At 39.5% G+C, this 15,525-nt stretch overlaps 1 protein-coding gene across 3 annotated transcripts in view; it reads right to left on the bottom strand.

Moving 5' to 3' along the window:
* Window positions 1-2,625: 2,625 nt before the first annotated feature.
* The window catches only part of ALPK1 (alpha kinase 1), a 145,253-nt gene continuing 132,353 nt past the window's right edge, over window positions 2,626-15,525 (bottom strand). For all 3 annotated transcript variants that reach the window (NM_025144.4, NM_001102406.2, NM_001253884.2), the window contains 6 exons: window positions 12,666-14,799; window positions 9,946-10,099; window positions 6,601-6,763; window positions 5,375-5,561; window positions 4,142-4,330; window positions 2,626-4,044 (listed from right to left, as the gene is read on the bottom strand). In NM_025144.4, the coding sequence (NP_079420.3) occupies window positions 4,037-4,044; window positions 4,142-4,330; window positions 5,375-5,561; window positions 6,601-6,763; window positions 9,946-10,099; window positions 12,666-14,799 (2,835 nt within the window). In that variant the 3' untranslated portion in view covers window positions 2,626-4,036. The remainder of the gene's footprint in view (window positions 4,045-4,141; window positions 4,331-5,374; window positions 5,562-6,600; window positions 6,764-9,945; window positions 10,100-12,665; window positions 14,800-15,525) is intronic.

The raw sequence follows: 15,525 nt of genomic DNA, 5'->3' as shown, positions 1-15,525 counted from the left end.
AGTTATGCCAATGTCATCTCACTTAGCAGATATCCTAGCTTTTTGACTTAACAAAGAAAAGTGGGCTTTGATGTGCTTTCCATCAATTTACTTCTTTATTACCTCCAATTTCCAGTTTCTTTGCCCATTGTTGCTCCTCCTTTTCTTCTGTGTTGGTAGAGATAACCATATTTCTTTCTAACTGTAAATATCCTGAACTTTATTCCCAATTTCATCTTCTACAAATGGAGATTGACAAACTTTTTTCTGTAAAGGTCCACATAGTAAATATTTTTCACTTTGCAAAATCCAGTCTATGTCACAATGTTACTCAGTTCTGCTATTGTAACACAAAAGCAGCTGTAGATAGTACATAATTGAATAAAGTTACTATGTTCCAATAAAATTTTATTTACAAAAACAGATGACAGCAGCTTTGACCTCATGGATCATAGTTTGTTGACCCCCTTCTACAACATCTCAAAGGTCACTCTCTCAATTAATAGCCTCTTTTTGCTGTCAGCAATCTTTTTTCACTGTTCTCAGTCTTTCACCCCCCAAATTGTTTTTTTTTCCTGAATTTTTCTGCTGGATTTCATACTGCTGAATGCTCCTCCTTATATTCTTTCCTGATTAGTTTGTTTGATACCATTCTTGGTTTTCATCTTCTTTATCTATTGATTCTTCAAACTTTTCTTGTTATTTCTTCCTTTCTATGACCTTACATTTAAGATTTTTTTTTTGAGATTTAAAAATATATAGAAAAGTAGAAAGACTGGTACAATGAATTGCTATGTAATCATCTCCCTTCAACATTAACCCCAAAGAGTCAAGCTGTTTTCACATCTTTTTCCAAATTTTTCTTTTGGCTGAATGTTTTTAAGATATCACTTCATCATTTTATCTAACACTTAGTCCATATTCAAAATCCCCAATTGTCTCAAAAATGTCATTTTATCACTGATTCATTATCCCACTTTTAGTGATCAGATTGACTGAAGTGTGAGTAGCATCAGCCTGATTTCTCCATTATAAAGTTCTCCATCTAATTTTCCCCAGCCATCAATGCTTTCTGCCCAGATCCATTATTTCATTAATGGATGCAAAATCATGATTTTCTAGTTTAGTCTTTCTATGTTTATTAGTTGGACTTCTTCTATGATGTTGAATAGAAGTGGGATAGTAGGCAAATTTGTCTTGTTCCTTTTCTCAACTTAAAAGTTTTAATTGCTTCACTATTAATTATGGTATTGCTGTTTTAAGTTTAAAATAAAAAAACCTTTGCCAGATTTAGAAACCTTTTCTTTATTCTTAGTTTTCAAAGAGCTTGTTTTTTTTCTTTTACCATGAGTTGATTTGGAATTTTATGAAATAATTTTCTACATCTTGTGAAATTACATGATTTCCTCCCTTTACTTTGTTAATAGGATAGATTACATTTTTTTTTCATTTCCTTAATAAGCATGTATTAGCTTTGGTTTTCCAAGAAGCAGATACCAGGAAAGGATTAGACATGAAAGACCTCTATTGGGAGAAATGATTGTAAAGGATCAGTTGGAGGGAACAAGAGTAGGCAGGGGACCATGCTGTGGGCCTGATGCCTATAAAAGGAGAGAGCAAAGAAAAGAGTTTTTTTGTTTGTTTGCTTTTGTTTTTTGAGATGGAGTCTTGCTCTGTCGCCCAGGCTGGAGTGTAGTGGTGCCATCTCAGCTCACTGCAACCTCTGCCTCCTGAAAAATTAGCCATGACCAGCTTTTTTTTTTTTTTTTTTTGTATTTTTGGTAGAGATGGGGTTTCACCATGTTGGCCAAGCTGGTCTTGAACTCTTGGCCTCAGGTGATCCATCTGCCTCGGCCTACCAAAGTGCTGGAATTACAGGCCTGAGCCACCACGCCCGGCCTTAAGAAAGTTTTGGTTAGGCCAGTGCTAAGACTTTGTTCCACAGTCACAGTCAGCAGTTAGAAATATTCTGAGACTAGTGTCCTTGTCATGCTTAGTCACTGGCTGACAGCACATTGAGGGCAACATGGCTTCAGCATAAACACAGTGATGGATTCAGGGGAGTGAAAGCTGGGAGTGTCAATCAACTGTGATCCCCACAGCAGGAGATTGGAATGGGTCTTCCTTGCCTCAACTGCAACTGTGAAGAGACATGTGCAGCAACCTCAAATTGAGAAGAGTATAAACTATCAAATGTTTGGACTTGATACATGAAGATCATGTATGTAAGTTTGAGTCTCACCAACCAGGTAAGCCACCCAGACTTCCTGAGTTAATAGTTAAGGCTGAGGGAAACTTAGAATGAACAGTGGAGGATAGGGAGAGTGAGCACCAGTTGCAGCCCCAAGAATAACTGCAGAAAAGAATTGGTTTATCTCACTAGTCGCCCTTTTGTTTCTTTCAGTAAGATCATGGAGGAGCTGTTTCCTAAACCTGTGTGAAGAAGTAGATCTGTGTAGGGTAAGGGATGGACTGTGGTAGCCAGGAAAATGTATCATTCTTCTTCTTCTTTTTTTTTTTTGCAAGACTATTCTTTTTTTTAAAAAAAAAAAGCTTTATTGAGGTATAACTTACCTACCATAAAATTCACCCTTTGAGTGTCTAGTCCAATGGTTTTGGTATATTCATAGAGTTCACAATATTCAATGATTTTTTTTTTTTACTTTTATTTTAAGTTCAGGGGTACATGTGCAGGTTTGTGTCATGGGGGTTTGTTGTGCGAATTACTTCATCACCCAGGTATTCAGCCTAGTACCCATTAGTTATTTTTCCTGATCCTCTCCCTCCTCCCACTGTCCACCCTCTGATAAGCCCTGGTGTGTGTTGTTCCCTCTATGTGTCCACCTACTCTCATCACTTAGCTCTCACCTATAAGTGAGAACAAGTGGTATTTAGTTTTCTGTTCTTGCATTAGTTTGCTAAAAATAATGGCCTCCAGCTCTATCCATGTCCCTGCAAAGGACATGATCTCATTCTTTTTTATGGTTACATTGTGATATGGTTTGGCTTTGTGTCCCCACCCAAATCTCATCTCGAATTGTAGTCCCATAATTCCCATGTGTCATGGGAAGGACCTGGTAGGAGGTAATTGAGGCAGTTTTTCCCATGCTGTTCTCGTGAGAGTGAATGAATTCTCACAAGATCTGATGGCTTTATAAGCATCTGGCATTTCCCCTGCTGGCACTCATTCTCTCTCCTGCTACCCTATGAAGAGGTGCCTTCTGCCATGATTGTAAGTTTCCTGAGGTCTCCCCAGCCATGTGGAACTGTGAGTTAATTAAACCTCTTTTCTTTCTAAATTACCCAGTCTCAGGTATCTCTTCATAGCAGTGTGAGAGTGGATTAATACACATAGTGTTCCATGGTGTATATGTACCACATTTTCTTTATCCAGTCTACCTAAATGCCCATCAAGGACAGACTGGATAAAGAAAACTGTACCACTCTTCCATCTTACTTTTTACAGATTTAATTATACTAGAAGGAAATACAGGAGAATTAAAAAGAAAGAAACTCAGAGTATAAGGAGGATCTAAGTATTATACATAACCAAAAAGCCATACAAAATAAAAGATTGATGAATTCAACTACATATAAAATTATGCACAGATAAACTTTTATGCAAAGTCAAATGTCAAAAGACAGGAAAACAAATTGAATTCGTATCACAAAGGCTCACATTTTTTTAATATGTAAAGAACTCCCAAATCAATAGGAAAAGCCCCAGTAGTATCAGTCTTGACAGATAGTGACAAAAAGCTCTAAAATCTCAATGGCTTAAACAACACATGCCTTTCTCAAGAGTGCTTTTCATCCCTCATGGGTGAGTTGGGGCTGTTTTCCATGTTGCTTTCCTTGCAGGACTTATGCCCAGAAGCAGCGGTCTCCTGACCCATTCTTGATAACTGTGGCAGAGGGAAAGAGGCTCTGCAGGATCTTGTGCTGCCAATTAAATGCAGGACTTAAAGTGATACTGATCAATTCCTCTTGCAAATCATTGGCCAGAACCTGTGTCACGGCCCTGCCCAAGCCCCAAAGGACCAGACTGTGCCGTATTCTATGTGCCTGGAAGGAGAGAACCAGATATTTGCGAGCATCACCAGATATTTGAGAGCATCACTAAGGTCTGTCACATTACCAATCCATACAGCCTATGACTTACATGGTTTCTCCATTGAAGGTCTAGTCAAAGAAAGACGATGGCAGATTTCATTACATTCCACATGCTGGTTATTAAAGAAGTAAAAAATTCCTCTCTTTCCAAAATTGGTAGTGAAAACTTTCTGATCAACGGAGTGAATCTGGGGATCTGTGAGGTAGATGAGTCCTTTTCCATTACCGGTTACCCAACCTAAAAGAGAAATGAACACACCTGAGTATTAAATTCCCTGTAAATGTCCATCAAGTGTTTACAAAAATACATACACACACACACACACACACACACACACACACTTAAAGAGATAATTCAAAAACTTGGCCATCCTGTGGTTTATAGTTAGTAAATTCCTGGTAAGGAATTTGGATGGCATATTCCAGTTATTAGTTTAAGAATAATTAAATATTGGGCAGTTATATTTGTCAAATATGACATCCCCAGATCACCAATTTTTCAAGGTATTAGAAAGCAATAAAATATACTTAGAATAATTATCAATATCATAATATGGAATATTTCTTTCATGATTCAGAGATTTCTTTAGTGACTTATTCATTAATTCATATACTCATCTGTTCATTCAACAAATATTTATTGAGTGCAGACACTCTACAAAACACTATTTTAGGCACTGGTGGTACCGACTGAACAAGCTAGTAAAAAATCTTACTTATAATTTACATGAAGTATAGGGTATTTTCTAATAAAAATTCTGATGAATAAAATACCAGACAAACTAAAACAAAATTAAAATATTAAGGTAGAATTGAAAAGTAGTCATATTTAAGTACATAGTTTAAAGATACAGATTTCTGTTCTATAATGACCCCCATTATGAAACCCAACATCACACTTTTAATAAGGGTAAGGGGCTGGAGAAAAGGAAAAGTGGAAAGAAGATTTTGACATGTGAAAAAAATGCAACGAAATATACATCACTCAAATCTACTTAAGTGAAATAAAAAAAGCTGTTATAGAGATGCTCTGGAACAAAGCCCAACAGAACATAAGCCAGACCCTCTCACTGATTATGTGATACTGTAGACATTTGTAGAAGTTTTGGGCATATTTTTCTTTCAGGAATTATTTGCTATATATAGTAAGATCAATTAAGTTAACTCCAAATAATAGCCTATACATGGAACAATCTATTAAGTAAAGATTAGGGAAGCTAGTTACAAAACTTCACATTTACATATAATATTAAAAATAAAAATAATTCCCAGTTTCACATACCTTGTAAATCGACCACAACATCTCTATGATTAGAAAACTCATAAGAAAAATGGCCATAGGCCAAGCCATATTCTGTGGCTTTGTATTCTGTTTTCACCACTTTCGTGTTATTTGACAATTTTACAAATTCTCCCAGTATGTAAGGCTCCACACTGATACATCCCTTTATTGTCTTGTCCTCTAAAATCTGAAAAATAGCAATGAGAAACATTACAGCATAATGGTAAAGGCCATTGTCTTTGGACTTGGGTAAATCTTGGTTTGAACCTAGGCTCTGCCACTTTGCTTCTCTGAGCTTCAATTTCATCATGGGTAAAGTAGGTATAATTATAACTACCTTTTAGGCTTGTTAAAGGGATTATGCAAGGAAATGCATGTAAAATGCTTAACACGGCATGTGGCATGTCATAGAACTTAAATTTATTGTCATTCACATATTAAACTGCTCACTTAAGATTTAGGCCATGACGTGACCTGTCCTGGAGGCTAGGTTACCAGGACATGAAGTTAGATCATGCTCAGGGACTCTAGGTTAAAACATCAGCTTTGTGGAGTTGTTTCAAAGGTTAGAGTTAAGGTTTGCAAACTGCCTGGCACAGTGAGTGACATAAAGAAGGTATGAAATGGATGATAATTACTATTATGATTAGGAAAAGACGGGTCTAAAAATGTCTCTGGCCAATGAAAAAATTATTGCAAGTATGAATGCACTCAGGATCTAATATATTCGGGGTAGCAAGGCATTCTTGATCCAAAGAAGAGAAAACTCAATGGGAATATTAGCCTTTATCTATTGAAAGGGGTATGTTAGTGAAGAGAGACTGGTCTTCATGGTCCCAGGAGGGAGAGCTGTAATCCATGGACAGAAGTTAGATAAAGATAGATTTGGGCTAAGTCTAAGAACTTTCTAACAATTAGGATTACTTGAAAGTGAAAGGAGAACAATTATTTTTTCTTGCTGAAGGTGTGTAAGCTTTGACTTAGCAATCACTTGGTTGCAAGGGGTGAGGCCAACAGATGTAAAATGGGATTTATGTATCATGTTGAGGGGATAGTTTGTACTAGATAAATCTTTAGGGTTCTTTCTCTCTTGGAAAGTACAGGGACAACACACAAGGATAGTTTGCTAAAAATGCTAGCCTGATTATGTGGAACCAGATACTCAGATTAATTGATATTCAAGTGTGATTTGGAAGATCCAAATGATGTGTTCAGGATAATCTTACCAGTAGTATTGTGGATGGGATGTAGAATATCTGGGTGGGAATGTTTTGTTCATAGAGTCTCTTGTTAAATTCTGTCACATAGTGCTGTGCGGTCATCTGTCGCTCCACATCAGTGAAGTGGTGCCAGAGCCCCTTCTGCTCCTTATAGTCTTTCCCAACATACCTATGAACAAAGAAAATCCACACAACAAAATGCAAAAGTGGTCTTACTTACTATGGAGTAAGAGAGAGGAGATCAAAAGACATATGCAGAAATGCTTGAAAGATCTCTTTCTCTGCCTTAGACTGAATATTAATTATTTTGACTTATCTCAAGATTCAAATAATTTTGTAAGAGCTACTTGAACAATGGAACACACTCATTCTAGCTGACCCAGAATGATACTGATTATAAAGGGAAAGTGTCACTTAATGTAGAAGTTCTCCAGACCTCTGGTAAGACAAGGGGGTCAGCAAAGTATACTGGAATGTGCATGGATTCTGGAGTCAAAACCTTCCACTCCCTGCAGTGTGGCCTTATATAGTCAGTTCATCAATCTGAAGCCTTCCTCTATCCCTTCCTTTTATGATTACTTCATTCCTATAAATACTTATTATCCGTCAATACCTATTATGTGCATAACACTGTGCTAGTCTTGAGTGACTTGAAGAAAGTGTGAGACATGATTTGTATATTTCAAGAGCTAATAGCACAGTTGGTGTGGGAAGACACAAGGCAGTAAATGATTACATGCGGAAAGAAGCAAAACAGTGCTGCACTTTACTGTAGTTTATACTTGCTGTAAACTGGTGTGAATTTGTGAGTAATTTCACATGTGCCCAGAGTGACCACCAAAAATCAAGGGGAATTGTTTGAGTCATAGACTTCAACCAGAGTAAACTCTCTCCAGAAATTTCTGAATCCCATATAATAATGGAACTTAAGGAGGCTGTGGTTTTGGCCATTCAGACTCCTGAAGACCAGAAAGGAAATCTGATAGTGGAGGCTGCAGTATGGCCTCAGAAGGCAGCCTGCAGAGGAGCAGTTGTTGTAATAGGGATGCCATACCAGTGCTTTAGGCAGTTCTTCTATGGAGAGACCGCAAGACCTATAGAGGGTTTGAACTAATTCAGAATTTTGTTGACTGATACCAGAGGTGTGCACAAGAGAGTGAACCTGTGAGTACTGGCTACTGGAGCATTTCCTGAACATTCTGCCAGAAGACCTCCAGTCTTAGGCAGGGGATCATCAATCTGAGAACAGAAGTCCATATCTTCTCTCATCTTGTACCATTTTTTTTCTGGGATCATTTTTCTTTAGTGAGGATTTGTTCATGGTAAACTGCCATGGTCATTTTTCCTTTTAAGCTGCAAATGTCTTTATTTTGTCTTCCTCCATAAAAGAGAGTTGCACTAAGTATATGACTTCCATTGTCTCTGAATTCCATTGTTGCTATGAAGAAACCAGCTGTAGGTCAAATTGACATTTCTATGTACGTAATCTGTCTATTTTCTTTGACTGCTTTTAAAATGGTTTCTTTGTCCTTAGTGTTTGGAGTTTGACTACTGTGTACCTAGTCAAACTAGGTACACAGGATGTCTGACTACCTGCCTTCCAGCTTCTTTCCTCCTTTCCCTTCTGTCCTTAGGATTCACTGTGATTTCTGTATTTCAAGATTAGTGTATTTTGGCAATTCTGAAAAATTACCAGAAAGTATCTATTCAAATATTGTTTTTGCTCTCTTGCTGTTATTTTCTTCTGATCAGAAATATATTGAACTCTGCCACTCCATTCTCTATGTCTCTTATTCTCAATTTATTCTCATCTCAGGTCCTCCTATGGTATACTCTGGTGTATCAGGGCTGCTGTCACAACATGCCATAAACTGGGTGGCGTAAATAACAGAAATTGATTTTCTCACAGTTCTGAAGCCTATAGTAGTCCAAGATCAAAGTTCCAATGGGGCCATCATCCTGCTGAAGGCTCTAAGGAAGAATCTGTTTCAGGCTGTCTCCCAGCTTCTGGCAGTTCTCTGCTATGAGGCAACATAACTACAATCTTCACATGGCATTCTCTCTGCGTCTTTGTCTATCTCCAAATTTCCTCTTTTCATAAGGATATCAGTCATATTGGATCAGGGGCCCACCCTACTCCAGTATGACTTCATCTTAACTTCACCAATTACATCTGCAATCCCTCTACTTCCAAGTAAGATCGTAGTCTGAAGTACTGAGAACTTCAATATATGAGTTTTGGGAGACACAAGTGAAGCATCAGCACATGCCCCTACTGCTTAGACATGTGATTTCAGGCAATTCCTTAACATCTCTGTGACTCAGTTCCCTCATCTGTAAAGTGAGAATAATAATAGTATCTACCCTCAGAGGGTTTTGTGAAGATTAATTGAATTAGCATATAAATCATTTAAAACAGGACCTGGCATATGTTTACTAAAATAATAATAATAATCAATAATCTTTTCAAGAAATGTACTTCCACTGCTTACAGAGACACTTGATTTCTCTATTTCTATTTATTTCTTACACTATTTGGATTTGAGCAAATAACAAGGCCAACTTTAAATGAAAAGTCATGGCTTATAGGTCTTTTAAAATATACAAATGATAAAAAATTATGTCTTAAATCCAATGAAGACCACCTGTGGTTACTAATTTTTCAGGTGAGTTTTTGTTTAAAATTTTTATTAAGAACTAAGGCCAAAGCAAAAACTTTCCAGGCATTTACTTCACTGGGGTGGGGTTTTCAAAGATACCCTTTATCGTGGGGATGTAGCCATTCCTGAGTCTTTGCTTGTATGAGTGGTATCTGAACTCATTCCCTTCTGGGTGTAGCTTTTGCTACGGGCTGCACCCTCACTCCACCCCTGCCTCAAACGCCTATGCGGGATCCCTAAAGGGTTCAGCAATCACTTATATCCCTGAACAGGCTTCATCCCTGGACTCAGGATTTTCCTGCCTTTTTTCAGGCTCACCTATTTACTTAAAAGTGTGCTTTTCATAATTTACCTTTTTTTGCCAGCATTTTTAGTGAATATTGAAGGCTCTCTGGCCTGTCATGTGGCCAGGAACTTTATTTTTCTTATCAGTACAGTATGGCCAATGTTTCCCTGATGGTTTTGAGGTCCTGTAGCTAAAACATCCAGCAAAACAGCTGATGTAACGTGGGTCCTCAATATATAGTAACTGTTGTTAATTAATTAATAATGAAAAGAAAAAGGAGTAGAAATCTGGAAATATATTTTGGCCAAGTTTTTCAGCCCCTACGAAGTCTCATGAGTGATTACTTAACAGAAGAGCAAGGTTAGCTCATCTTACATTAGTTATACAAATGTTTTTAAGTAATACCTCCCCAGAATTTCTTCTTGATGAAGATGATGAACCCAAAAAGCATTTCTTTGTCTGCCTTTTTTCTTCACAGTCAAGTAGTCCCCCAAATAGACAATAGTTTCCTGGGCCGTCCACAGTTCAGATTTTTTTGAATATTTTAACAAAAGAGCACCTGGGAAAAAAAAAGATGAAAATGAATCTTATTTTCAAAAGGACGTTACAATTCATGAATAAAGCTGATGTGACACAGGTCCTACGCCAGCTCACCTGAAATCTTCACTTTTTTATACACTTTTCTCTAATTTTCATCTCTTCTATGACAACTACAGTATTAAAAAGTTAGTGAGAAATAATAAAAAAGTAACACTTTATAAATTACAATGAGGAATAGCCTTTGAGTCACAAAATCCCTTAGTTGTGATGAAAAGGGATTAAGATAAGCATGAAGATTCTATATGAAAGTAGTGGAAAATAAAGGAATTTTAAAATCAGAAAACCCCAGAGACCATTTTGGGACAAGTGACACATGCTTGCAACTTACTATTATTACCTGGGGATCCCAAATAACAGAAGCTACTACTGATGGCAGCTCTGGGAATCCTAGCATTATATATTCAAGTGCACCCTAATTTTCTCTTCATTGTTTTAAGTTGAGAAAGTTTGGAAATTATTTGAGAAAATGTAGCTGCTGTAAAAACATGCGAACTCAACTGAAAAAAGGAAAACATAAGAGGAAAAAGTAGGGGCAGTCTCCACCTTATAGAAAGGAAGAACAGTGCTAAGCAAGAAAGCATCTCTTTGAGGAGAAACACCCACATGAATCCTAAGGAAGGAGTGCAACACTTTGGTTGAAATTAAAATGAAGTGAACAAAGACTTTTGTCTAGATTGTGAAAATAGATAAATGAATGGGATACGTGGGAGAGAAAATACTTAAAGCAAGATAAACTGACAGTTCTGGGCAGGGGATGCCTGTGGGCTGGGCGGGATGGTGACCAGGGTTGGGTGACTCAGTTAGAGAAGCCGGATGGAAATGGAAGGTGAGTTGTCTGTCCACACACAGGACGGGTGATAAATTGAGAGAAGAAAAGAGGAAGGGAATCATTGTTCTGTTTCTGCCATTTTGGGCCTTGCTTCCTCTAATGTATTTCATCCATAAATTAGCAAACGATAACAAATAAGAAGAAAGCAGTTACCTCATTGTAATAAATGTGATTCCAAAATTGCAGAATCTCACAGTTAGTAAGAAAACCCTATTGCTGGAAATTTTTGCTTTTTTTTGGTAACAATGTGATTTGTATTTTAGTCGGACTTCAAGGTGGCAGGCAAAACATTGGAATACTTTGAAGCAGAAGCTCTTAACAGTGGCTTTAAGCAGAATCACCAGAGAGGTGATAAGAAATAATGATCCCTGGGTCCGCACTCCAGACCCATTAGATGGAAATCTCTGGGGTGAGGCATTGGAAGTTTTTAAAAGCTCCCCAGAAGAGTCTCATGTGGCGCCAGGGTTGAGAACTACTATTTAATAGCCAGTGCTTAGTGATCCATGTAGTTTATCTCTTCTGGGAAGTGCTTCACAATCTTTTTGTTTTTTTAATCATTCAAATCATTTTTCTGTATAGTAGGAGGGCATTTTGATGTGATTCCTGGGCTAAGAGAAGAATCTCCTTCTGTCTTCCTCCCAGCTTCTCTACCACTTTTAAGCTGTGTTAGACATTGACTACTAGGTGGCTCCAGCCCAGGCTTCCCGCTTTGGGCAGTGACATTGGGCTGTTCCTTAAGCAAGAAGTAGCTGCTGATTGCAACAGTAGGGGTACTGTAGTCTGGAAGTTTTTATCCCCCCTAAATTCACATGTTGAAGTTCTAACCCACAAGGTGATGGTGTTGGGAGCTGGAGACTTTGGGAGGTGATTAGGTCCTGAGGGGTAGATTCCTCATAGATGGGATGAGTGCCCTCATAAAAGAGATCCCAGAGAAACCCTTCCCCCTTCCACTATGTGAGGACACAGAGAAAAGGCGCTGTCAATGAACCAGAAAGCAGTACCTTCATCCTGGACTTCCAGGCTCCAGAATTATGAGGAATAAATTTCTGTTGTTCATATGCTACCCAGTTGATGGCATTTTGTTACAGAATCATGAATACAAGATGAGGATGCACTTGACCAACCAATTGGCTGGCAAGAAACCGCTTAGGTAGACAGGTGTAAAAAGTCTCTGCCCAATAGAAAGATGATATTTAACTAGGTCAAACCATGTCCCCATAGAATTCTAATGGGGAAAGATAGAGAAAAATCAGTTGGTTGGTAAAAAGACTCGAAGGAGAAGATAGATGCTGAGCAGATAATATGGTATCCAGCCTGTTAAAATCACCTGATTGGTAATGAGAATCAATGAAGAAGATAGATGCTGAGTGGATGAGACGGCCTCCAGAGCTGTTTTCAACCCTTAGTGATGGCTGTGCCAGAGTCCTCTAAGTTTCCTGTCTCCCTCACTACCTCGTGTGTCCTTAGAGCAAACCTCCAGCATGCAAGGTAGCCTGAGCAAGCTTCTTTACAACCATTAAGGTCCATCGCACAGAGTGAGGGAGACCCCTGAAGTATACATTTCTCTGTGAACTCACAAAGCATACCAGGGTTCTATACCTTTCATGAGCTTTAAGTGATCTACATACCAAGCTCTTCAGAGTGCCCCAACACAGCTGCTTCCTGAGGGGGGAACTATTGAAAAGATTGTACTTACTATGTGCTCGGTGGAGTTGACTGGGCTTAAAAACCCCCGTATTCTCTAGTCTCTGAAACAGCCAATCATGCCTCACTCCTGCCAACAGCTTTTCAAAGTCATCAGGTTGCAAGGTGCGAGCCTCAAGGATCTCTTTCCTCATCTTTCCCGGCAATGAAACCCAAGAACTCCCACTGGAATTCAGATAGGACCAAGGGCTGTCCCCCTCAGAAGAACCACTGGAAAATGCAGGTGATTTCAGCCACCACACTGAGGATGAGCTGGAGTTCTGGCTGCAGTTTAGCATGTTTCCAGGCTGATTTCCTTCCTCTGTGGTAGTGCAGTCCTCGCTGAGGACAGGGAAGAGGATGTTACCGCTTACAGAGGAATTGGGGGTCTCCGCCCTCTGACCAGGCGGCTGTCTCAGAATGCACAGTCTATGAGAGCCGTGCCCATTTGTGCAGGGAACATCCATGCTGTCGAGCAGTTGCCCCTCCTCATCCACTGTGGAGGCATCAGGGTCGATGCCCTGCTCTGCGACTGGGCCACCACTTTTTCTGGAGTCAGGATTTTGAACAGGCCAATTAGGGGTGAAGGAGCTACATGGCAGCATGGAAATGTTTCCCAGAGAATTGTGCAGGACCCTGTGAAAGTCTAAGGGTGCATCTTCAGTGCTTTCTGCTGTTTCTCCTTCTGGGTCAACCCAGGAGGGACTAGCTTTAAATGTAGGGCCTGCGCCTCTTTCACTAATTTCTTCTCCCTGCTCTTTCCCCTGCCTGTCTTTGACATCGCAGTTGGTTTCTGGAAACTCAACAATTATTTCAAAGGCTTCTTCTTTTTGGACTGAAGGATGTGTGCCCATATTCTTGGGCCTACCAGAATCAGAAGACCAAGAAGCAGAACGATATGAGGGTCTGGAGTGAGCAGAAGTATTTCTGGGTCCCATATTTCTGACTTCCTGGATACCTTCTGGAGCTCCTTCTAGAAGCCCTGCACCAGGGGCCAAGAAAATGCCTGGGGTATTATGAGGCGAGAAGGGTGTCAAGGGCATCTGTTGCTGTGGCTGATTTTGAGAAGGCTCCAAATTGTCATTGTTGGGTTCCTGAAGAGAGAGATCATGAAGCTGTGAATGCAATGAATGCATAGCTCTGCCTTCCCTGTCATTCTCTAGCTCCTCAGACAAGGCAGTGGAACACTGAGTGTCCACCAGATGTTCTTTGCCAGGCTCTTTTCTGGCTGACCTGTCGTCAACGTGATAATTCACTTCCTCCCAGCTTGCAGAGGAACTAAACCCTGATAAGTTGCTCCAAGCACTGGAAGTCTGGCTGCCACTCAGAGACTTGTTGAAAACAGCTCCCTCACCATTGCTGTAGTCCGATGGCTCAGTCTCAGTCTCCACATCTTGATCCAAGGAGACTCGAAATGCATCAGAATGGGTCCAGTTTCTCCTTCCTCCCCTTCTGAGTTCCCTCTGAACATTCTTACCCATTAGGGAGGAAGATATTCCTGTGTCTCTTTGACAATGTGGCTTTTCTTGAGTAGTACTCACAGTATCTATGTTTTTTATTTCTGTTTTTAGAGCAGTGATGCAGACTCCTGTTTTTGCATCTTTCTGTTCATTTTTGTTGTTTCCACAATCACTTTCAAATACTTCACACACCGAAGTATGGTGCTGTGAATAGGTGTCAAGGATTTTTTGGAAATCCCCTTGCCCATGCAAGATAAGTTTATCCAACCTGCACTCGAAACTCTCGGGAACATAAGATCTGTCATCTACATTTGAGAAGCTTTGAACTTGTAAATGTTCCTTCACCTGGGCAATCACAGACATAACTTCTTGAGACAGAGCTTCTCTGTCCTGACTTCTGGAGGAAGTGCTGAAATTGTACAGCTTCCCCATTGCTTCCTTACAGAGCTGACTTGCTGCATGGACCGTCCCTGTCTCCCCATGGAGCCTTCTGTGCACTGTGGTGAGACCGAAAGCAGCTTTGACAAAGCTGTGAAGCTCCTGTTTTCCAGTAACAGGCTCATCATCTCTCTTGGTGAGGAGGCCAATCTCAAAGGCCTCTTTGGCTTCACACAGATGTAAGTTTTTCAATTCTGGAGGACAGTCATTTGAACTACTGTAGGACAATAAACACGTGCCACGGATATTCTGGGAAAAATACCAAATACCAAATCAGATATTGAATTGAAAACTGCAAGTGAATCAGGACAAACTTTTCATTTCTGGAGGACAGTCATTTGAAATATTATAGAAAAATGAACACATGCCACATACATTCTAAGGAAAATATACAGGCAAACATTGAGTTAAGGACCCGAGGCCTTTTTGGTGAATCAGAAGAAGGGATGGGGATATAAGTGACTGGCTGGCATGAAGGGGTAAGAAATCAGCTTCAATTACCATCCTATTGTATCTTTGATACATTTTGATTAAAGACGATAGGCTTGTGTTTGTTGCTGTTGTTAGTTTTAACAGAGTCTATCCATGGAAATGGATATAAGTTTCTCTATGCAAATAAGGATGCCATATATGAATACATCATTCATTTAATGTCGAAACAATAGGGCATTGGTTTCCGAATGCATCTGTGCATTTGAATCACCTGGACAATATTCCAAAATTAAAGATTTTTGGATACCAACCTCAGAGATTTGCATTTAGTGGATCTAGGGTGGAGCTCAGAAATGTGTAGTATTTTTTTCTTTCTTTTTTTTTTCTTTTTCTTTTTCTCTTTTCTTTTCTTTTTTTTTTTTTTTGAGGTAGGGTCTTGCTCTGTTACCCAGGGTGGAGTGCAGTGGTGCAATCTCAGCTCACTGCAAACTCAACCTTCCAGGCTCAGGTGATCCTCCCACCTCAGCCTCCCCAGTACCTGGG

This window comes from Homo sapiens, chromosome 4 (assembly GCF_000001405.40).
Source record: "Homo sapiens chromosome 4, GRCh38.p14 Primary Assembly".
NCBI classification, from domain to species: Eukaryota; Metazoa; Chordata; class Mammalia; order Primates; family Hominidae; genus Homo; species Homo sapiens.
Note: the sequence above shows the minus strand (reverse complement) of the source record. Positions and strands in the feature narration are given on the sequence as shown.